The sequence below is a fragment of the Homo sapiens genome, chromosome 15, assembly GCF_000001405.40.
Source record: "Homo sapiens chromosome 15, GRCh38.p14 Primary Assembly".
NCBI classification, from domain to species: Eukaryota; Metazoa; Chordata; class Mammalia; order Primates; family Hominidae; genus Homo; species Homo sapiens.
Genome location: NC_000015.10, coordinates 42,329,826 through 42,354,310, shown reverse-complemented (window position 1 = coordinate 42,354,310; position 24,485 = coordinate 42,329,826). Strand labels below are relative to the sequence as shown.

At 40.5% G+C, this 24,485-nt stretch overlaps 1 protein-coding gene across 3 annotated transcripts in view; it reads right to left on the bottom strand.

The window, feature by feature from the left end:
* Positions 645–24,485, bottom strand: part of GANC (glucosidase alpha, neutral C) — an 80,466-nt gene continuing 56,625 nt past the window's right edge. For all 3 annotated transcript variants that reach the window (NM_198141.3, NM_001393928.1, NM_001393929.1), the window contains 10 exons: positions 23,639–23,735; positions 15,821–15,922; positions 14,399–14,642; positions 13,557–13,621; positions 11,157–11,233; positions 8,479–8,553; positions 6,095–6,208; positions 4,816–4,928; positions 2,879–2,982; positions 645–2,281 (listed from right to left, as the gene is read on the bottom strand). In NM_198141.3, coding sequence (NP_937784.2) covers positions 2,172–2,281; positions 2,879–2,982; positions 4,816–4,928; positions 6,095–6,208; positions 8,479–8,553; positions 11,157–11,233; positions 13,557–13,621; positions 14,399–14,642; positions 15,821–15,922; positions 23,639–23,735 — 1,101 coding nt within the window. In that variant the 3' untranslated portion in view covers positions 645–2,171. The remainder of the gene's footprint in view (positions 2,282–2,878; positions 2,983–4,815; positions 4,929–6,094; positions 6,209–8,478; positions 8,554–11,156; positions 11,234–13,556; positions 13,622–14,398; positions 14,643–15,820; positions 15,923–23,638; positions 23,736–24,485) is intronic.

The window sequence follows — 24,485 nt, the reverse complement described above, 5'->3', positions numbered from 1 at the left end:
AAATCCAGTTTCCTATGAAACCATATTAAGAATTAGCCACAAAAAAGTAACAATACCTGTAGGCCAACTCAGCCCCATGTTGCTCTCTGGTACACAAATTCAGAAATGGGAGGTAGGTAAAGTGTGAGAAGCAATAAGAGCAGAAAACCATTAAAAACACCCAGGCTGTCTCCACTTGTCTCTAGCCAAATGTTTCAATATAGATTTGGGTCAAAACAGAGCAGTTCCTCATTAACTTACTCTACTAGTTACTGCTCCATTCCTCCAATAATATTTTAAATGGAAGACTAGACGTGCAATAAATGTTGACCTAAAGATAGTTCTTATTCAACTGTAAATGCTATTAAAAACTATCATTTATATTAGGGAGGAGCACCCAGTCTTCTGGCTAAGTTTTATTTTAGGTTGGCAAGGGAAATTTGAAGATAGGCACCATGGCTTCAGCTAATATAAGCTTGCTCCTTTCTTCTCAACTGCAAAACTTACAGAAATAGGAGCAAAGAATCTGTGCAGGTCTCTGTGAGCTTACATATGGTGCAGAGCTCAAATCTCAACTCATACTATGAAATGTGTCCACAAGGAAATGCACAATGTTGATTGCCTTTGGGAAGAATCTTGTACCAGAAAAGCAAATCAGATGGAAATACATTCAATCGTAATTTTTTAATCAATTAAATCCACCAGCTAACTAATCACAGCTAACAGTTACTGAAAGTCAGGTATAATAGTGCTCTGTCAGACAGAAGAGAAACAGAACATGCTCTTGAGGGACATACAATCTAGTAGGAGAACGCAGACATACTGAAAACATTAAGGTATGATCCCTGAGAATGCTAAGTAGAGCACAGTTATAAGTGGGACAGCATTACGGGGAAGGGCAAAATCACTGCTAATGGGTATGGGGGTAGGGGTGTTCACGCAGTTAGGCTTCATGGGAAAGTGGGATTTAAGTTGGGCCTGGAAGGATGGTAAGGGCAGGAGGATATTGGCGCCCAGGGATCAGAAGGCACAGAGGTGGCCGTTAGCAAGTTGCTAAGTGGAGGAAGCCTGATAAGAAGAGGTGTGTGCTGAGGAGTGCTGAGGAGTCGAGGCTGCTAAAACAGATGCTGTGGCAGGCAGCAGGGAGCCACTGAGGTCTGTGGAGCCTTGGGCACCATGACACGACTGGTATGTTGTAATGTTCTGCCCCATGCCAAGCCATATTAGAGCCTGGGACAAAAGGAAAACTCAGTAATACTAATCCTGTCTTTATTTTAAATTTTAATATTTTGTTCATCATGGTTTTTTTTGCATTAATTCTGATTTTTAAAAATATTGGATTGAAATATTACTTACTTTGATTACTGTATTTTTTTGGCATCCCTTACATTTTGTGCCCAAGGCCAGGGTCTCCCTTGCCTCATCCTAGTCCCAGTCATGAGTTCTACTTCTGAAGTCCAGTGGTGGGTACATGGGTATTTATTTCATTGTTATTAATTATAGCTTACTCATGTTATAAATATTATTTGGTTAGTAAACAGCACTTAATTAAAAAAACAATGTAAAAGACATGGATTTTAAGATTAATTAGAAACTATTGAGCCTGAGAAGCATGAAAGAGAAAAGAATCCTTCGTGCTGCCAAGTCGATCTCTAGGGGAGAATAACTCCCACGGCTGCAGCGTATGCAGTGCACACAGAAGAGGGCTGCTCTGCCCAGTCCATGTGGGTGGAAGATAACTGGGGGGAGTACCAGAGGCTGCTGTCCACTTGGACACTGGCCTTGAGCAACTCAGCTGCTGCAGCCAGAGCGCCAATGCTGCATGGCCTGAGGCAAGCCCTGGCAAATGGGCTGCCCAGGTAGGCTTGGCCCACGTTAAAACAGACCCACGCAGCCCTGCTGAAGGAATGGAAGCAATAGAAGACTCCTGAACGCTATAAATGTCTCAGGGCTATGTATCAGGGAGAAAAGGAGATGTTTGATACAAGGAATATTGTTAGTACATCTTAACATGTAAAATCTGAAATTTTGAAACATGAAATCTATTGTTCATTAGTATAATGGTGACGAATGAAAGATTATTTTGATTCAGGGAAGGCAAACAGATTGCAGCAAAAATCTCAAAAAAGGTGAGGGGAAAGGTTGAAAGGGGCAGGCAGGTCCCTGCTCACATCACCAGGGGCAGTTCTTTGTCATATGATGCGGACCTCCCAGTCAGTGGCAATGTTGAGTGAGAGCTTCTCCAGGCTCAGGATGGATGTTTTGGCACAATACGTAAAAGCCACAGGCTGATCTTTACCATCTAAATAGCAAGACAATAAAAGAGGGAAATTTTGATGAATCTCTAGAAGGGAAAAGTCTTTTCTCCAAATCTGAAATGTTTTCTCACTGTATCATAAAACCTTATACCCCACTCCAAATTAATAGCACTTTTACCCATGAACTTCCATGAAGTTTTAGAAACGTGGAAAACTTCATTGTTTTGACCGCAAGATTGGTTGAAAAGAAACCGTAAGGAATGAATAAATTTGTCCAAGAACTTCAGGAAGCAAGGAAGGATATAAGTCCCATCCTGCCCTTTCATAAACTCCAAACACATGGGTAGGATTTTCCAGGTCTTCAGGCAGCTATAGTTTAAACAAATATTCAGAGAAGCTATGATATTATTTCAAGCCCCAAATAAGTTTCCTTAGAAAAACATTAAAAGTGAGCAGAAAGATCAATTCATGAAGAGAAGCAAGATGGCCTCATTTATTCTACAGACTAGTATATTTCACCTCTACCTGAAAGCACACACTCAGGCTCAGCATATTATCTCCGTTTGGGGACTAATCATCTCACTGCAGATACTTCTGTTTATAAAAACAAATGGTGAGGTAAGAATGGACTGCTTTCTCACCAGATGAGTGGGTAGTCACAGAAGATGGCTCCTTCCTGAAGCCTAAGACCAAGATCTTCTCCACCACACACTTGCTGGGATAATGACCCCTCTGGTCAGCAAAACTGGAATAGATACAAACAGTATTAAAAGGAGAGGGATGGGGGTTTGAAGTGGCCACCAGCTCAACATCTCCAGCCTTGTGAGTTCCTCTCCCATCTGTCCCTTGGAGGCATGATCCATATGGGAGTCATATTTACTAGGATGAAGAGATAATAAAAGACCCAGGCACGGTGGCTCACGCCTGTAATCCCAGCACTTTGGGAGGCCGAGGTGGGCAGATCACTTGAGGCCAGGAGTTCAACACCAGCCTGGGCAACATGGCAAAATCCTGTCTATACTAAAAATACAAAAATTAGCCAGGAGTGGTGGTGGGTGCCTGTAGTCCCAGCTACTTGGGAGGCTGAGACACGAGAATCCCCCGAACCTGGGAGATAGAGGTTGCAGTGAGCTGAGATCGCACCACTGTACTCCAGACTGGGTGATACAGTGAGACTCCATCTCAAAATAATAATAATAATAATAATAAAAGACGACTCGCTGGGCATGGTGGCTCATGCCTGTAATCCCAGCACTTTGGGAGGCCAACGTGGGCGGATCACTTGAGGTCAGGAGTTCGAGACCAGCCTGCCCAACATGACGAAACCCCGTCTCTACTAAAAAAATACAAAAAATTAGCCAGGCATGGTGGTGGGCATCTGTAATCCCAGCTACTCAGGAGGCTGAGGCAGGAGAATTGCTTGAACCCGGGAGGCTGAGGTTGCAGTGAGCTGAGATCATGCCACTGCACTCCAGCCTGGGCGACAAGAGCAAAACTCCGTCTCAAAAAAAAAAAAAAAAAAGACAACTCTGTGTACCAAGGAACAGCTAACTGGTGGCCAAATCAGGCTCTTTTTAACAAGTTATTTGAAAAATAACTGAAGAACACAAAAGTTACAAATGTGACTTGGATATTATAATCAAATTGTAATAAATCAGATATTTAGTGAGCTGGTGAATGGATGAATGAATGGAATTAGTGGGAACTTAAATTAAGTCCTTTTTCATTTTTTAGAAAGTCGGGGAGATGGGCGGAGTGGCTCACGCCTGTAATCCCAGCACTTTGGGAGGCCGAAGTGGGCAGATCACCTGAGGTCGGGAGTTCGAGACCAGGCTGACCAACATGGAGAAACCCTGTCTGTACTAAAAATACAAAATTAGCCAGGCGTGGTGGCGCATGCCTGTAATCCCAGCTACTTGGGAGGCTGAGGCAGGAGACTCGCTTGAACCTGGGAGGCAGAGGTTGCGGTGAGCCGAGATTGTGCCACTGCACTCCAGCCTGGGCAATAAGAGTGAAACTCCATCTCAAAAAAAAAAAAAAAAAAAAAAAAAGTGGGGGAAAGAAAGGTGAAGACAATAAGGGAGGATTGTTTATGGTAGAAAGGTTGAAAAATACTCCAGAAATGCGCCGGGCACGGTGGCTCACACCTGTAATCCCAGCACTTTGGGAGGCTGAGGTGGGTGGATCACCTGAGGTCAGGAGTTTGAGACCAGCCTAGCTAACATGGTGAAACCCCGTCTCTACTAAAAATACAAAAATTAGCCGGGTATGTTGGTGCATGCCTGTAGTTCCAGCTACTTGGGAGGCTGAGGCAGGAGAAATCACTTGAACCCAGGAGGTGGAGGTTGCAGTGAGCTGAGATCACGCCACTGCACTCTAGTCTGAGCGACAGAGTGAGTGAGACTCTGTCTCAAAAAAAAAGAAAAGAAAAGAAAAGAAAAAAATATTCCGGAAACGGCCTTCACCATTCATTTCTTTAAATAGTAACTTAAAACATACCTGTGCATTTGATTTGAGGATGCTGAACGGATAGTGTGATTTACTTAAGAAAACAAACAGTTTCTTTAGCTGCCATTACCTATTGATCAGAACACTGGAACAGAATGAAAACTTCCTGTGCAAAAATTGCTTCTGGTGGAGGTATTGGAATGAATGGCCATCATCAAGATATAACTCACCCACTGAAGAACCCTGGAGAATGAATCACAGAGACAGAATGTGCTTATATGATAGCTTTACAGGAAAAGAATGTCAGCTCCTAAAGGGTAACAACAGAGTAAAAAGTTTGTGAAAAATTCAAGCTATATAAAGTAGTCGTACAAATACCTAACATATTCAATAGCCAATCACTCCTGAGTAGATAGTAAAACAATAGGAAAGTCACATAAGAGGAGCACAAAGAGTTAGGCTTTGTTCAAAGAATTTAAACTGTGAAGTATGTTCAGTGGTATAAGTGGATTCCCTGAAAATACTCCACCAGAATGTGACAACAAGGCCAAGAAAGTTCATTGAATGACAACGATGTTAAAAAAAATTAATACATAATAGATGACATCAACTATCTTTAGAAGACCCTCCACTCAGAGAATGGTATCTGCTTCCTTTTTTTAAATTTATTTTTATTTTTAGTAGGAGGATATGGATCGCTAGTCTTTTGTATTTATTCTGGGGCCTCACATGGGTCTGGGACCCATAGTTTGGCCCAAGAAGACATGCCTAAGTGAAAAAGATAGGGGAAAAAAAACCCTACAACTGAATTATTTTATAATATTGATATCAATGCAAGTGAGTATTAATATAGTAAGAGTAAGGGTTGGTGTTTGGCCCTGTACTAGGTTTGAACAAATGGACAGGAGAGGAATCTGCTACAGGCCTCACTAGGCTTAAAAAATCTGAAAAGGACACATCACTTCTGGATCCTCCCAGGCTTTGCCCAAGGGGGTTTTAGTTGTTGGAGCTACCTGATAAGAAATCACTGGTTGGGACTGGGATCTCTGAAATGGTGCATAGACATGGGTACCGTTTTATGGGAGACTGGGTTTCAGGGCTAATCCACGTGGGAAGGCTGTCTATGGCCCAAAAAGCATTCACTCCAGTAGTAATCAACGTCAAGTTGAAGAGCACCAACACTCACAGTGCCCAAGAGGAACATTTCTGTCATTCCTAGATCTCAAAGGTTCCCTTAAGAACAATTCCAAGGAAGGCAGACAAGCTGAACAATGATTCAGAAATGATTCAAACCTTGATTTCTAGATAAATGTCAGGAGCTCACCACTTTTACGTAGTGTCACACACTCAAAAGGCTATCACTGTAAAGAAAGAGTAGAAACAAAATGAGTAACAGATTTACCAAATACCTTAGTGCTTAGAGCAACCCGGAGTCCATAGGAGGATTCAGTCATCCAGCCTGTGGATTTTCCTACAGTTGTCTTTATTGGTATCACACTTCCACCTCGCTGAAACACTGGAATCTGTAACAGAGCAGCACGCTCAGGGAAGCAGTATTCATATAAGAAAATTTCAAGGTAGAATTTAAAAATATTTCATTTTATAAAATTCACAGTCTACAAGTACGGATTTGTAGGCAAAATAAATTTTGGGGCACAGAGATGGCAAATATGGGGGTCCTGGCATTAAAAGGAAAAGAGCTCTAACGCTGAAGAATGGTCCACTTTTTAATTATTAGGGAAACTTCCCACCCTTCATTGGTTTGTTATCTATACCTGTCTTTGCTGTTTTTTCCTCTTAAGTGATGAATTCCTTTCTGCCCATCCTATAAGTGGCTTTTCCTATTTTGTATTTTAAATTTTCCTATCAGTGTAGTATATACATGCTTATTTCCAGAACCCTGCTGAAGAGTGAAGTTTTCTGTCTGTGTGAGTGGGCCCAGAAGTCTGTGTATGTGTGTATGTATAACTGATGGTGGTTTCTTGGTTTGGACAGATGACTTTTGTCCTCACTCACTGCAGCCTGTCCCCTCTTGCTCCCTGTTTGGATTACATGGATTACCTGGATGACTGACTCAATTCTGAGGGTAAATCTGTGAAACTGCTGCTCTTACATTAGAGACTACCAAGGGTACTTTAAGAGACCCTAACAACAGGCCCATAACTATGAGTCTTCTGGAATGGCACTCCAGGTAGCAATGCCAGGGTAGGTTTCCCACCTCCTATAAGGAAGCTGCCTGTGTCAGAGAAGGGCTTGTGCTTTGCTCTGACTCAAGAATGAGCATGCAGGAGAGTACAAGAACATACATGAAGTTGAGACTGAGGACTCAGTAGTTCAGATGTCCCACCTCTGCTTAACTTGCCTCGGCAGTGAGAAGTAAAGCACTTCCATCTCCCCACACATGCCCCTTCCTCACTGGCCAATCTCTCTCTTCTTTTTTTTTTTTTTTTTCAAAGAACAAGGCCATAAGTTAGAGTGAAATGGGTTCCAGAATGGGAGTCCAGCCCAAGGGAATGCACCTGGGGGCTTGTCTCAATTCTGCCACAAGTTTGCTGTGTTCCTGGACAAATAATTTAACTTCTCTGAATCTCAGGGTTTTTTACCTGTGTGAGGGATTAGAGTAGATAATTGTTAAGTTCTCTTCTAGATCTGAAAGTTGGTATCTGAAACTATTTTTTTAAATAATGGGGTTCATATTGCTGCTGATGGTTTACAAAATAATATCAGTATCTATTAATCTTCACACTACTTTGGGCCTGTAGTAGTGTGGCAGTGGTTGTAATTCAGGTGTAGAAAGAAAGTTCCCTTTAGAAACTCAAGATAGCCTGGATGGACCACTTTGATTTTAACATCATAACTGATGCATTCCCCTGGGCCCAGGATTACAACTGAAAACTCCTGTTTTTTGCCTTAATCCTGTAGAATGATATTCCAGATGGCACATATGGTGACTACCATGTTTTTTGTTTTCAGTGTTTTTGTTCTTCTTAGACACACAAATGTAAACATACGGGGAAGAGGTGTGTTTGTCTCTGATGTCTCATTCTGTGAAATCAGAGTAGATGTGATTTTTAACTTTTTTTCTCACATTTTACAGCTTTGATAGAATTCATATACCATACAACTCACCAATTTAAAGTATACAATTAAACAGTTTTCAGCATATTCAGAGTCATGCAACCATCACCACACTCAATTTTAAAGCATTTTCATCACCCCAAAAAGAAACCCTGGACCAGTTTACAGTCATTCCCCATGACTCCTTAACCCTCCTCTGCCCCAGCACTAGGCACCCCCGGACCTACCTTCTGTCTCTATGCATATGTGCTATTGTGCAGAACACTAGCATCCTTGGTTCTTTTTACAGAGGAACACATTATGGACTGAATGTTTGTATGTCCCCCAAATTCATATGCTGAATCCCCAAGCCTGAGATATTTGGAGATCAGGCCTTTATGGAGTTAACTAAGGTTAAAAATGTGGTCATAAGGATGGGGTCCTGAAACGACAGGAACAGTGTCCTTGTAAGAAGAAAACTGAGACAGCACCTTCTCTTTATCTCTCTCTGCCATGTGTAGGCACAGCAAGAAGGTAGCAGTCTATAGGCCAGGAAAAGATCTCTCACCAGGAACAGAATCGGCTGGCACCTTGATCTGGAACTTCCAGCCTCCAAAACTTCGAGAAAATAAGTTTCTGTTGGGTAAAACCACCCAGTCTGTGGTATTTTGTCATGGCAGCCCTAGCCGACCAATAGAGCATGATAGGTAAAAATAGTAGTCTGAAAATAACTTACAGTGTCCAAGGCTACTGGGATCTTTACAGTACACCCTCCTTCCCAATGAGCAAATGTCTTATAGTCATACCAGACCTAGAAAGTAACAGAGTCCAGTAAAAAAGAGTACATAAGCAACTCTGCTCACCATTTCATTAGTCAGCAAAATATCCACTTACCTGGATTTCAAATAACCAGAAAGCTAAAATAAATATAACTTAAAAAATATATTGGGTAGAAGTTAGGAAGAATACGTGCTTTTAGGAAGATCCCAAAAGACTATGGCTGATTAATTTAACTAAAAGGCCATTTGTTTTCTATTCATCCAAAAGCTACCGACTGAACAATCTACCATGTGCCCAGCACTGTGCCAGGTGCTGAATATACAAGACTGAACAGAAAAGACATAGTTCCTGTCCTCATGGATCTTATAGTCCATTTGGCTTATAAAAACTTAATGCTTCTAGTAGTGAAAGAGGTGATGGAGAAAAGAAAAAAAAACAACAAAGAAGACAAGCACATTGCAGGCAAATCAATTACAAAAGAGGCAGGAGAAAAGGAAGCATCAGAGAAGGAAACATATCTGGGAGGAAAAAAATGGAAACTTGAATTACTATTATAGTATCTTTTTTTTTTTTTTAAACAAAGCACAATTCAAAGATAAGGTTGTTATCTATCAAGGGGGTTTAGTTGCTGAAGTACCAATAAGGTCTCTAAAGTAATTTGATGGGATAAATTCTTAAGATATCATCAGAAGCAGAATGAAAGCAAACATCTTTTTCTTTCTTCTAGCTCAGTACACTTTCTGGCAGCCCTGGAGTCTATTTTGCAAGTTCACCTCCAGGGATTACCACATCCTTTATACGGCAGGTTTGTGAAGCAAGAGAAACAATCACAGAACAGTCCAGGAAATAGTGCTGAAGGAACATAATACACACTCACAACGACGTGTTTGGAATGATGATAGATCACGAATAAAACTCTGTGACTAAGTCGGAAAGGGAGCCAGTTCCTCTTAATGGGAACCCACCACTTTGCTGGAATCAACTTGAGAAATTCTCAGCAAAAATATCTGGCAGGGCATTTACTCAGCAGTTGTTGCATTTAACCTTTTCCTCAGGTTTCTACTTGGCAGGGGAACCTTAGTAAAGAGCCCTCATCTTCAGAACTCCAAATAACTGGAGAAACCAAGAGAATAGACCATAGTTCATGAACATTCTGGAGAGAAGCCTGGTTACTGTTCTGTCAATAATGACAAGCATAGCAGATGGAACCGTCGCCCCTCAAAAAGATGTACTCACGTCACAATCCCTGGAAGGAATGAATATTACCTTCTATGGTCACAGGTTTGATTAAGTTAAAGATCCTGAGACAAGGAGGTTATCCCAGATTATCCAGGTGGGCCTTCAATGTGACCACAAGTGTCCTTATAAGAGATAGACAGAGACACACAGAGGAAAAGGCAACATGAAGATAGGCGAGACTGCAGTGACGTGGCTACAAACCAAGGAAGCCCAGGGTTGCTGGCAACCTCCAGAAGCTAAGAGGGAGGCATGAACAGATTCTCCCTCAGGGCCTCCAGAAGAAACCAACCCTGATGACACCTTGATTTCAGACTTCAAGCCTCCAGAATTGTGAGAGAATAAAGTTTTGTTGTTTTAAACCACTAGGTTTGAGGTAATTTGTTACAGAAGCCTCAAGAAACTAAAAGAACAACCAAACATGTAAAGCTATGTTGAGGGAGAGCACGGCGCTGGATGTGGTTTCATGGGGTTGCCAGCCCAGCACCTGACAGTACTGAGCAGCAAGCGTGGCCTGGCTCAGCTACCTTGCCACTTGCCTTGACAGTCCATGACTATGTGGCCTGGCAGTCCCATGCCAGCTCCATACCTGCGTGGCTCTTCCCCTGCCTGCTGAACCCTGTGGCATGCTCCCGTGCTCAAGGATGCTCTCTAGGGTCTGTCTCCTTCCTGCTCTCCCTTCCACACCCTCCTCCCTTAGTCTGGTGACCTGAGTTTTGCTCCAGCTCTTCTCCTGGCCCTTCTGGATTTATCTGTGGCCTGTCTCTGAAGGCTGCTCTTATTACCCATGGCTCTCTGCCTGCAGACCGCTGGTATTCCCTCCTCTCCCCTGTGCCCTGCCTGGGTTCAGTGCCCTGGGCTCCAGCAGGTCTAGGATGATATTTTATACCTGGGACAGTAATTAGTGACAATAACTAATAAAAGAGCAGAGGAATGTGGGAGGGGAGTCACTATTTTTACTTTTTACCCACTTCAGTGAGTGTATTGAGACCAGCTTTTGGTACCAAAAACTCAGGCTTCAGATAGAGCCAGACCAAAGAGCAAAGTCACTTCATATCTGCTTTCCCCCAGAGTTTGATACCTCATAGCAGACTGAAGATTTCTTCCTACCCCAAGCCTCGGTGTGTTTATCAGGACTCACTTTTACTAGTCAAAGTGTGAAGACTAAAAATCATTCTGATCCTCCTTGGAATCCTCACCAATTCATCTTTCTCCCTCCTCTCCTCCATTAAGTTTCTTGACCTCTGAGGACAGTGGTCATGACTTATTATAATAATTACTTGCTATAGTCATCTGGGGTGTGTTCACAAACACATGATGAAGAAATCTCTTTCCTAAAAGAAAAGAAGGGATGAGAGATATGAGACATATCAGATATGTGGCTGTTATTACTCTTACCTCATTTGATCCTGGAAGAAACACATCAACTGTGGTGGCTTTTGGTTCTGTGACTGGATGAACCAATAATGCACTCCCTAAGTAATGGAGAGGAAATAAAGTTGAGTATCATTATAAGAGGTCTAAAAATCTCCTTTCTCTTTAACTGAGTGCTAGCTATCATGGTGTTACAGACCTCCCAGCTGTGAACTTTGGAGAGGCAGAGACTGACTTGAACCAATGATTTGTTAGAGAGATGCACTGATAGAAAGAGGGCAGGCGCTCAAAGAGGTGAGCTCAAAAAGGTCATCGCCTGTCATTAATGCACTCTGGGTATACTGAGATTATAGGAAGGGACTCTGACACAGTCCATCGGTCTCATTTTGTGTCTAACTGCTAATGTGTCAGTAGTCAAAGCACCCCCATTGCTCCTTTCCAAGTGCTTTACTGTTTGCTGTCAGTGAAGCTGAAGATGGGGAGCCCACAACTATTATCCAGAAGTGTGGTCAGTGTGGGTGCTCAGACCCTCTTGCTTGGAGTTATCATCAGAGAGGCTGCAGTTTTCTTTTTCTTTTTTTTTTTCCTTAGAGACAGGAGACAGGGTCTCACTCTGTTCCCCAAGTGGGAGTGCAGCAGTGCAATCACAGCTTACTGCAACCTCTAACTCCTGGGCTCATGTAATCCTCCAGCCTCAGCCTCTGAGTAGCTAGGATGACAGGTACACACCCAACGTGCCCAGCTAATTTTTAAATTTTTTGTAGAGACAGGGTCTTGCTATATTGCCCAGGCTAATCTCAAACTCCTCAATTTAAGCGATCTCATACTCGACCTCCCACAGTGTTGGGATTACAGGCATGAGCCACCATGCCTGGCCTCTAGTTTTCTTAAAGGCAATCTGGATTATTAAATTTGCTTTGACTTTGGCACAACACGTATGTAAAATTCACCCACTTACTACTTTGCTCTTTTATTCAATAAATACTTATTTCGAGTGCCTACTGCATGCCGGGCACCATGCTAGGCTCTGGGGATATAGTGGCCAATAAGACAAGCGTGGCTCCTGACCTTACGGAGTTTACAGTTAGTGAAAACAAATATTAAAAAATAATTACAAATTAATTAGAATTAAGACAAATACCAAAAGAGACCAAATTACAAAATGGAATGAAAGTTACATAATAAGAGGGGCTGATTTTTACTAGGTAGAATAAGGTATAAGGAAACCAGGAGTGGTCAGGGAAGTTTCTCCAAGGCAGTGACTATTAAACTGAGACCTAATGATGAGTGGAGACTTAAAAGAACTCAGAAACGGGGCTGGGCGTGGTAGCTCACACCTGTAATCCCAGCACTTTGGAAGGCCGAGGTGGGTGGATCACCTGAGGTCAGGAGTTCAAGATTAGCCTGGGCAGCAAGACGAAACCCCATCTCTACTAAAAATAGAAAAAATTAGCCAGGCATAGTGGCACATGCCTGTGATCCAGCTACTCGAGAGGCTGAGGTGGGAGGATTGCTTGAGCCCCGGAGGCAGAGGTTGCAGTGAGCCAAGATTACACCACTGCACTCCAGCCTGGGTGACAAAGTGAGGCTCCATTTAAAAAAAAAAAAAAATAGAACTCAGAAATGAGAGTCACCCTTTGGGGAACAGTATATTTAGCCTGGCTTCTTGAGCCCTGCTACTAAGCTGGTAAAATTCTATGTTCTGGATTTGATAGTTAATCTTTGTTAAAGAAGAGGTCAACCAAAGAAAAACCCTATTATTGCATATGAAATAAGCTCTTCTGGTTTTTTACTATCACCACCTGGGCTGTTTTTTTCTACTTCCCTTCCCCCAAGTGATCTCACAGGATTAGAGGAGTGAACCCAGAACAAGAATCCTAAACGACATCCACAAATAAGTCAGCAAGAACAATATTATGAGAAATGCTACATCACAACAGAATGGAGGTATGATCCTACTAATAATGCATTAGAAATCTTGGTGAAGGAATTTCCTATATTTTTATTTTTTGTCTTTCTTGGAATTAGGAACTTTTTTATTGCTCTTATATTAGAAAATATAATAAAAACGTAATTACACTTTTTATAATGACTGTAATTAATCAAGAAATGCTTGGCCAGGCCTAGTGGCTCACGCCTGTAATCCCAGCACTTTGGGAGGCCAAGGTGGGTGGATCATGAGGTCAGGAGTTCAAGACCAGCCTGGCCAAGATGATGAAACCCTGTCTCTACTAAAAATACAAAAATTAGCCGGGCATGGTGGCGGGCACCTGTAATCCCAGCTGCTCAGGAGGCTGAGGCAGACAATTTCTTGAAACCGGGAGGCGGAGGTTGCAGTGAGCCGAGATAGCATCACTGCACTCCAGCCTAGGTGACAGAGTGAGACTCCGTCTCAAAAAAAAAAAAAAAAACAGAAATGCTCACCCAGCATGTATTCATCTTCCATATCAAAAGTCTTTAGTTCATCAGGGAACTCTACCCACAGAGGCCTGGGGAAAGAAAAAAAATTATTGTTTTAACATTATAGACATCTTATTGCAATCAATCACTTATATTTTTAGTTTTTTTTTTTTTTTTAGATGGATCTCACTTTGTTGCCCAGGCTGGAATGCCGTGGTGCTATCTTGGCTCACTGCAGTTTCCGCCTCTTGGGTTCAACCGATTCTCCTGCCTCGGTCTCCCAAGTAGCTGGGATTACAGGCACACACCACCACGCCCAGCTAATTTTTGTATTTTTAGAGACAGGGTTTCATCATATTGGTCAGGCTGGTCTCGAACTCCAGACCTCAGATGATCCTCCCAAAGTGCTGGGATTACAGGTGTGAGCCACCAAGCCTGGCCTATTTTCAGTTTTATAACTATTCAAAGGAAATGGGAACGTGCCAAAGAGCCAAGACTCTTTTTCATATGATTCAAGCCTAAGCCTGGCAAAATAAGTTATTCTTCATGAGAAGATACTGATAGGTTAAATACTGAATGAATTTTATTACAAAGCCACTTCCTTTTTCTTTGAAATATCTCTATTCTGTCTCCTATCAAATATTCATACTTTAGTCACAAAGCAGTAGCAGTTTTTATCTTCTGTGTCCCCAACAGCCAGCACCCTGTTCACCGCGCTGCTCAATAAGCTTATTGAAACTTGATTAAACATGTAGCTTTTCTTCACCTTTCTCTTGAAATCACTGTAATTATTGCATTCTTTAATCACTGAGATCTTCTATTACAGATTGGTTGCTGGGGTCCCTGAATGGATGAAGCTTTTTTACCTCATGACAGGTTGGGAAGCCACGTGTGCATGGTAGAACAGAGAATACCAATATGGCAGGAGGCCATAGCGCTCTCTGATGGCTTCTCGGATGAGTCGGGTGTGTTCCTCCCCAAAGAGCCAGGGCTCTCGTCGCTTGGTGTTCATGGTGGCATGGCCACGGAAGAAGGGCTGGTAGGCTCCAGCCTGGTACCAACGCACTAGCAGCTCTGTCTCTGGATTCCCAATGAACCCGCCTATGTCAGCTGGAAGCAAAAGAAGGCCAAGTGAGGCAACCAAGCTTTGGATAAATGATGCACACAGGGAAATTAAGGTCTTGAAGACCGACAGGAGAAAAGTGCAGTATATGCACTTCAAATGACAGGATAAAGCCGTGGCCTCAAACAGGTGACCCCCTTACTACATAATTCAGCCTGTTTGGGGATCTGACAATGGGCTCTTAGAATATTACTTTCTTGTCGAAAGGTCAGAGGCTTTATTTCAAGATCAATATTCCTGTATGTTCCCCAAACCAGATAACCCAGACACTGAAAAATGTCTGCCTGATTAAATAACTGTGTGTGTGTGTGTGTGTGTGTGTGTGTGTGTGTGTGTGTGTGTGTGTGTGTTGGAGGGGGGTGGTTGGCAACTGATTTCCTTTGGAAGCAACAGCTGAACTAAGATAAAAACAGAAAGAACTGAAGAGAAGCAGATAATCAGAAGTAGAGGTTCTGATTATCAGAATAGAATTCCATGCTGGGCCACTGAGTGGTATATACATATTCCTTGTATTGTACATGGACCAATGCAATAAAAACACATGCATCAAAAGAATGATATTAATTTGCTTCTACTCCTACAGGAAACAAAGAGCAGCTGGAACTGCAGCCATCTTGAGCCCCCTCCATATTGAGATCGCTCATCTACAGAGAATTCTTAGGATGCAGGGAAGATAGTCCATTGGAAAATCTTATTTTAACTAAATTCATCTTTCTCAAGAGCATATGTTTTTGTTTTAGTACAGTTAAAATATGCCACAGAATTTTAAATCTGCTGAGTAAAAAGAATTTCTGTAAGGCTGACTTTCTGATTTGCTAAATTCCTTGTAGTTCTATTTTTCTCACTTTCAAGAAGAAAAGATAGCTGTCAGGAAGAGAAACTTAGTTATCAAGAGCGTCTAGGAAGGAAGTGATAAGAAAATGGCTCTGGCTCCCTTTCTGACAACTTGATTTCATGCCCTCAACAGAGACCAGATAGAAATAGCTCTGAGGCATGCCTTTCACTCTCCTCTCTAATCCGCTCCTCTTCACTTTCTCACATTTTTTCTTTCCCACATTTATGTCTGCCCACAACAGCTAATGAGAAGGGATTTGTAACCAGCTTTGATGAAAACACCCTCATTTTTTATTTCCTTGCACTTCAAGCCTCAAAGGACTCATCTTACCTCCGCAAAAAGAGATCCCAGTAATGCTGAGAGTGAGTAACATTGGGATAGAAATTTTCAAGTTGCTCCATTCTGCTGTGTTGTCGCCTGTCCACACGGCACCTTTGGTCACCAGCAACAATGTATTAAAATCACAAATCAACCCATGCGTTCAATTTCCTATGTAGATTCCTTATTTGTAAAAGACAACTTAATGAAAAGGAAAACCAATTTCTTGCCTTAAAATAAATAAATTCTAATTTTCTACAATGAAAAGTATCAATTTTCTAACGTGAAAAGTTATTAAAATCTACAAAACAAACATTCTAGGAAAATATTCTGAAATTGCACTTTTTTTTAAGTATAATTTAGGTCTGATAGAGGAACCCTTTGAAAAATCAACTTTAAGATTTAACTTGCATATAATACATGTGGTTTGTTTTTTTTTTAGATGGAGTCATGTTCTCACTTGCCCAGGCTGCAGTGCAGTGCCGTGATCTCGGCTCACTGCAACCTTTGCCTCCCAGGGTTCAAGTGAGTCTCCTGCCTCAGCCTCCCAAGTAGCTGGGATTACAAGTGTGCACCATCACTCCTGGCTAAATTTTGTATTTTTAGCAGAGAGGGGTTTCACCATGTTGGCCAGGCTGGTCTTGAACTCCTAGCCTCAAGTGATCCACCTGCCTTGGCTTCCCAAAGTGCTGAAATTATAGGCGTGAGCCACCATGCCCAGCCTCTTCATGTATCTTCTTTTGAAAAGTGTCTATAGAAATCTTTTGCTCATTTAAAAAAAATATTTAAGTTCAGGGGTACATGCACAGGTGTGTTATGTTGGTAAACTCGTGTGTCACAGGAGTTTGTTGTACAGATTATTTTGTCATTTTGTCTCCCTGATGTTAAGCCTAATACCCATTAGTTATTTTTCCTGATCCTCTTCCTCTTCCCACCCTCTATTCTCAGGTAGGCCCCAGTGTCTGTTGTTCCCCTCTATGTGTCCACGTGTTCTCATCATTTAGTTCCCACTCCTAAGTGAGAACATGTGGTATTTGGTTTTCTGTTTCTGCATTAGTTTGCTAAGGATAATGGCCTCCAACTCCATCCATGTTCCTGCACAGGGCATGATCTCATTCATATATATAAAAATAAATTTAATAAAAAAGAAAAAAATATCAAAGACCAGATCACAGGCAAGATATCTCATTCCTTTTTATGGCTGCATAGTATTCCATGGTGTATACGTACCACATTTTCTTTATCCAGTTTACCACTGATAGGCATTTAAGTTTATTCCATGTCTTTGCTATTGTGAACAGGTGCTGCAGTAAACATACACGCGCATGTGTCTTTATGACAGAATGATTTGTATTCCTTTGGGTATATACCTAGTAATGGGATTGCTGGGTCAAATGGTAGTTCTGTTTTTAGTTATTTGAGGAAACACCACATTGCTTTCCACAATGGTTGAACTATTTTACACTCCTACCAGCAGTGTATAAGCATTGTCCTTTCTCTGCAACCTTGCCAGCATCTGTTACCTTTTCACTTTTTAATAACAGCCATTCTGAATGGTGTGAGGTGGTATTTCATTGTGGTTTTGATATGCTTTTTTCTATTGATCAGTGATGTTGAGCTTTTTTTCACATGCTTGTTGGCCACATGTATGTCTTCTTTTGAAAAGTGTCTGTTCATGTTCTTTGCCCACTTTTTAATGGGGCTGTTTGTTTTTTCTCTTAAATTTGCTTAAGTTCCTTATAGATGCTGGATATTAGACCTTTGTCAGATGCATAGTTTGTAAATATTTTCTCCCGTTCTGTAGATTGTCTATTAACTCTATTGACAGTTTCTTCAGCTGTGCAGAAGCTGTTTAGTTTAATTAGATCCCATTTGTCAATTTTGCTTTTGTTCCAATTGTTTTTGGTATCCTCATCATGAAATCTTTGCCTATTCCCATGTCCAGAATGGTAATGCCTAGGTTGTCTTCCAGGGTTTTTATATAGTTTTGGGTTTTACTGTTAAGTCTTTAATCCATCTTGAGTTAATTTTGTATACAGTATATGAAAGGAGTCCAGTTTCAATCTTCTGCATATGGCTTGCCAGTTGTCCCAGCACCACTTGTTGAATAGGGAGTCCTTTCCCCATTGCTTGTTTTTGTCAGCTTTGTCAAAGATCAGATGGTTGTAGGTGTGCAACCTTATTTCTGGGCCCTCTATTCTGTTCCATTGGTCTACATGCCTGTTTTTGTGCCAGTATCATGTTGTTTTGGTTACTGCAGCCTTGTAGTAGTTTGAGGTTGGGTAGCATATTGCCTCCTGCTTTGTTCTTTTTGCTTAGGACTGCCTTGGTTATTCAGGCTCTTTTTTTTTTCTTTTTTTTTTTTGGTTCAATATGAATTTTAAAATAGTTTTTTCTAGTTTTGTGAAGAATGTCATTGGTAGTTTGACAGGAATAGCACGGAATCTATAAATTGCTTTGGGCAGTATGGCCATTTCAACAATATTGATTTTTCCTATCCATGAGCATGGAATGTTTTTCTATTTGCTTGTGTTATCTCTGATTTCTTTGAGCAGCGTTTTGTAGTTCTCATTGTAGAGATCTTTCACCTCGCTGGTTAGCTGTATTCCTAGGTATTTTCTTCTTTTTGAGGCAATTGTGAATGGGACTATGCTCCTGATTTGGCTCTAGGCTTGACTGTTGTTGGTGTATAGAAATGCTAATGATTATTATATGTTGATTTTGTATCCTGAGACTTTGCTGAAGTTGTTTATTAGCTTAAGGAGCTTTTGGGCTGAGACTATGGGGTTTTCTAGACAGAGTCATGTCATCTGCAAATAGGAATAGTTTGACTTCCTCTCTTTCTATCTGGATGCACTTTATTTCTTCCTCTTGCCTGACTGCTCTGGCCAGGACTTCTTCCAATATCATTTTGAATAGGAGTGGTGACAGACGGCATCCTTGTATTGTGCCAGTTTTCAAGGGGAATGCTTCCAGCTTTTGCCCATTTAGTATGATGTGGGCTGTGGATTTGTCAAATATGACTCTTATTATTTTGAGGTATGTTCCTTCAGTACCTAGTTTGCTGAGAGTTTTTAACAAGAAGGGATGCTGAATTTTATTGAAAGCTTTTTCTGCATCTATTGAGATGATCATGTGGTTTTTGTCTTTAGTTCTGTTTATGTGATGAATCACATTTATTGACTTGGGTATGTTAAACCAACCTTGCATTCCAATGATAAAGGCTTCTTGATCACGGTGGATAAGCTTTTTGATGTGCTGCTGAATTCAGTCTGCCAGTATTTTGTTGAGGATTTTTGCATCAATGTTCATCGAGGATACTGGCTTGAAATTTTCTCTTTTTTGTGTCTCTGCCAGGTTTTGGCATCAGGATGATGCTGGCATTATAGAATGAGTTAGGGAGGAGTCTTTCCTCCTCAATTTTTTGAAATAGTGTCAGTAGAAATGGTATCAGCTCTCCTTTGTACATCTGGTAAAACTGGGATGTGAATCTGTCTGGTCCTGGGCTATTTTTGGTTGGTAGGCTTTTTACTACTCATTCAATTTTGGAGCTCGTTATTAGTCTTTTCAGGGATTCAATTTCTTCTTGGTTCAGTCTTAGGAGGGTATATGTGTCCAGGAATTTATCCATTTCTCCTACATTTTCTCCTTTGTAATTCCTAATTGTGTTTATTTGGATTTTCTCTCTTTTCTTCTTTATTAGTCTAGCTAGCAGTCTATCTATTTTGTTATTATTATTTTTTTTTCAGAAAACCAACTCTTAAAGTAGGTTGTCTTTCTTATTATTATTGAGTAGTAAAAGTTCTTTATATATTCTGGATACAAGTATTTTGGCAGATATATCTGTATATGTATATTTCAAATATTTTTTTCCTCAGTCGGTGGCTTGCCATTTCATTTTCTTACCAATGTCTTTGAAAGGGCAGACATTTTTAAATTTTGATAAAGTCTAATTTGTCATTTTTTTCTTTTATGATTCATGCTTTTTGTGTTCTTTCTAAGAAATGTTTGTCTGTTTCAAAGCCATAAAGATTTTCTACTGGCCAGGTGCAGTGGCTCACGCCTGTAATCCCAGCACTTTGTGAAGCCGAGGAGGGCAGATCACTTGAGGTCAAGAGTTTAAGACCGGACTGCCCAACATGGTGAAACCCTGTCTCTACTAAAAATGTAAAAGTTAGCCAGGTGTGGTGGTGGGCACCTGTAATCCCAGCCACTCAGGAGGCTGAGGCAGGAGAATCACTTGAACCCGGGAGGTGGAGGTTGCAGTGATCTGAGATGATGCCATTGCATTCCAGCCTGGGCAACAGAGTGAGACTCCATCTCAAAAAAAAAAAAAAGATTTTATTCTATGTTTTTTTCCAGAAGTTAGGTTGTATTTTTAGCTTTTAAAATGAGTTAATTTTTTAGTTTAATTTTGAATATGGTATGAGGTAGGGGTGTAGTTTCATTTTTTTCCCCACACAGATATCCAGTTGTTTCAGAACCATTTACTGAAAAGAAATTGTAATTTCTCCATTAAATTGCCTTGGAAACTTTGTTGCAAAGCAATTGATCACATATGTGTTGGATACTCTGGATTCTCTACTCTGTTCAATTGATCTATGTACCTATTTCCTCCCACCTCCACCAGCCCCTGCTTCCAAAGAAAACCCTAAAAAATTTGAGAGAAGTGTTACAGGCCTTAAAGGGGAGACATAATAACAGTAGCAATAACAATAATTAACATTTATTTAACCCATACTGAGCCAGGTGTTATGCCGAATAGTTTGCTGGTATTATCCTACTTAATAATCACAACAATCCTATCAGATAAACACTATTATAAACTCAATTTTATAGATGAGGGAAGTATAGCAAGCAATGGATGCATAATCTACCCAGAGTTACACAGTTATTAAGTGGTAGAGGCAGGATTTGAGCCCAGGCACTCTGATGCCTAAGCCAGTGTTCTTGTTCTTATTTACTGAAGAGTTGCTAAGAGTTTGTGATGAGAGATTATATACCACCAAAGACAGCCATAAAAGGGAAAGTCTTATTTTATGAAATATATACTACTTCTGAAGCATTTTTGTCTATCTTCTACCAAAATAGTTTTGGTAGCTATTTTTGTTTTAATCTTTCATAGAAATTTTAGGCCGCCCTATGGCCAGGAAAAAAAAAATTCTTTTTTTTTTTGAGATGGAGTTTCACTCTGTGGCCCAGGCTGGACTGCAGTGGTGCAATCTTGGCTCACTGCAACTTCCACTTCCCAGTTGCAAGAAATTCTCCTGCCTCAGCCTCCTGAATAGCTGGGACTACAGGCATGTGCCACTATGCCTGGCTCATTTTCGTATTTTTAGTAGAGACAGGGTTTCACCATGTTGCCCAGGCTGGTCTCAAACTCCTAACCTCAAGTGATCTGCCCACCTGCCTCAGAAAAGTACTGGGATTACAGACATGAGCCACTGCTCGTGACCAAAAAAAATATATATATATATATTTTTTGAGACAGAGTTTTGCTCTTGTTGCCCAGGCTGGAGTGCAATGGCACGATCTCTGCTCACTGCAACCCCTGCCTCCCAGGTTCAAGCGATTCTCCTGCCTCAGCCTCCCTAGTAGCTGGGATTACAGGTGCGCGCTACCACGCAGCTATTTTTTTTTTTTTTTTTTTTAGTAGAGACAGGGTTTCACCATGTTGATCAGGCTAGTCTTGAACTCCTGACCTCAGGTGATCCACCCGCCTCGGCCTCCCAAAGTGCTGGGATTACAGGTTTGAGCCACTGTGCCTGGCTCAAAAAAAATATTTTCCAGGGATTGTTCTTTTAAAAAAGTATTCTAATTTCCTCTTGACTTCAAGCGAGATATGTACGTATTTACATAATGATTTTGAAATCCGTATGGAGACATTCTCATCAAGAAAGAAAGCTCACATAAACATGCAGATATTTTCATGTCTCATACTATTGTTTAGTCAGAAGTTCTCTATGGCTATTGATCATCGCATATGACTTAACAAAGTAGTGTTTCCTGTAATGTCTTGCTACACAGTGAAGCAAAGCTGATAGCTTCACACAGAGTACTGCAGGCTAAGCAATGGACCAACATAAGAGATCAACAATAACCTAATATTTAAATCTTCTGTTATCTTTTTTTAACTGTTGCTGGTAAATGTTTTCATTAAAAATACTTTTTTTTGTGATTAAAAATGATACTTGTAGACAATTTGTAAAATAAAGTTAGATAAAAGAAAAAAATGAAAATCACTCAAAATCACCAAGGTATTACATTTTCTTATATTTAACTGTCTGCCTATCTACCCACTTATTTATTTAAATTACTATCTTCCATTAATCTTTTATAAAATTGAGATAATAAGAAATAAGACTTGATGTTTGATAGATCAGTAAGGTGACTATAGTTAGCCTTGATTGTGTGCATTTTAAAAAAGCTAAAAGAGAATAATTTAAACGTTCCTAGTATAAAGAAAAGATACATATTTAAGGTGATAGATATCCCAATTACTCTGATTTGATTATATGAACATATCAAATTATCACACATATCCTGAAAATATGTACATCTAATACATATCAATACAAAATTAGGTTAATATTATAAACACTTAGGTGTTCCTTTTTTTATTTATCATATCAAAAACATTTTTTCATGCAATTAAATCTACCATTTAAAATAGCCTTATGAAAATTAAAAAAAGAAAAAAAATTTTTTAAACATAAATAGCCTCACGATAATCTATCATGTTGCTATACCATACTTTTATAACTATTCCCTTATTGTTATGTATTTAGATTTTCTTTCTTACTTTTGTTTCAAGGACTACCACTGTGTTGAATACCTCTGTACATGAATCTTTGCCTGAGATTGTAATATTTTGGCCCTTTCCAGAATGCCACAGGGCCAGGTTTTCAGGGGTGGAGTGGGAGGCTTAATAATGTCCACAGGATAGTAAGGGCTGGATTCTTTAAACTAGGATCTAAGCTCTCCGTTGCTTATGCAAGGCCAGGGGACTTAAAATAGCCTTCCTGCCACAGGGTTGTTAAGTTGAACCAGATCTGCATTAGCTGGTAAACTGCATCCAGTTATAGATGACCCTGACCACACGCAACAGCCAGGTCTATTTTAAGCCACATTTCTAAGTGGAACAGTTGGTTAATGGAATGTGTTAGAGGTGTATCTCCCTGGCTTTGATAAATCAAAGAGACAGGACCAAAGATGACTATCCCAGCAAACTGAATACTTAGAAGTTACTCTCCCAACAACGAAGTGGCCATTTCTTCAGTGAGAAACAAGTATCAAATGACTAAAATTTGTTTATTCTGTCTTATAGGACAAAATCCACACTTTAGGGCATACCACTGTCTACAATCAAAGGCCTGACCAATGGCTATTGAAAAGGAAGGCATCAGCTGAGTGTGGTGGTTCACACCTGTAATCACAACACTTTGGGAGGCCAAGGTGGGCAGATCGCTTGAGTCCAGGAGTTCGAGACTAGCCTGGGCAACATGGTGAAACCCTGTCTCTACCAAAAAATACATATACATATATAAATTAGCTGGGTGTGGTGGTGTGCACCCGTAATCCCAGCTACTCATGAGGCTTCGGTGGGAGGATTGCTTGAGCCCAGGTGGTCAATGCTGCAGTGAGTCATGACTGTGCCACTGCACTCCAGCCTGGGTGACAAAGCGAGACTCTGTTTCAAACAAACAAATGAAAAAAAAAAAAAAAAAAAAAAGGAAAAGGAAGGCATCAGCACAGTAACATCACATTCTATAAATGGTTAAAAAAAAAGTTGCTAATGTGTTTTTAAGTCTGATATGAGCCATTCCTTACCATACTTTTGTGATCCAGCAAAGAAAGAACGTGTAAGAACAAAGGGTCTCTCCTTCCCTTTAGATCGTTTTATCAGTCCTTCTGCAGTAGCCATTTGCTATATCACCAAACAAGAAAAATTTCAAAGAGATGATTGGATTTGTACAGACATCCCCAATAAGCTATCTAACATACAAAAAGCAAACAGTAGGCAGGAGCATGAAATGGAAAATATTAAAATAAATCCATCAAATAATTTTCATGGTATAATGAAATTACTCTAAATTCCCCTATTAAAAGAATGGAAAATTTTCTTTGGTTAACAATAGCAATGAAATAATAATAAACAATCATCTAGCATTTCTTTGGTGCTTACTATTGCTAGGCATTTAATATAATTTTCTCATATAATCTCCGTAACAACCTCTGAGACAGACAGTTTTCATTGGTACGAAAAACTGAGCTTCAGAGAGGTTAAATGACTGGTCCTGACCTATATAAGACAGCTCACTAACTAAAGCAGTCTACAGTTACTGCAACAGGCTGTTAAAGAGGCAAACACACACAATCTGAAAACTATGCTTATATTTAGCCAAAAGATCCCATTGGAAAATACCAATAGGTAAGAGGGCCACAGGAATACAGTCACAATTTGAAAATAACAAAGAACCATGGGTATACATGAGGTCAAGTGTCTGCCACGTCTTTTGGATGTAGTTGGCAAATGAAAGATAATTTTACCACCTTTATTGAGGAAGCTAAGTACTTAAGGAAGGCTTTACATTTTTAAAATATACTTATTGAAGCTGTGTGTCTGTGTTCTAAATATTGCTCCTCCAGTGTGAATATAAGATTTGCTGTATTTAGA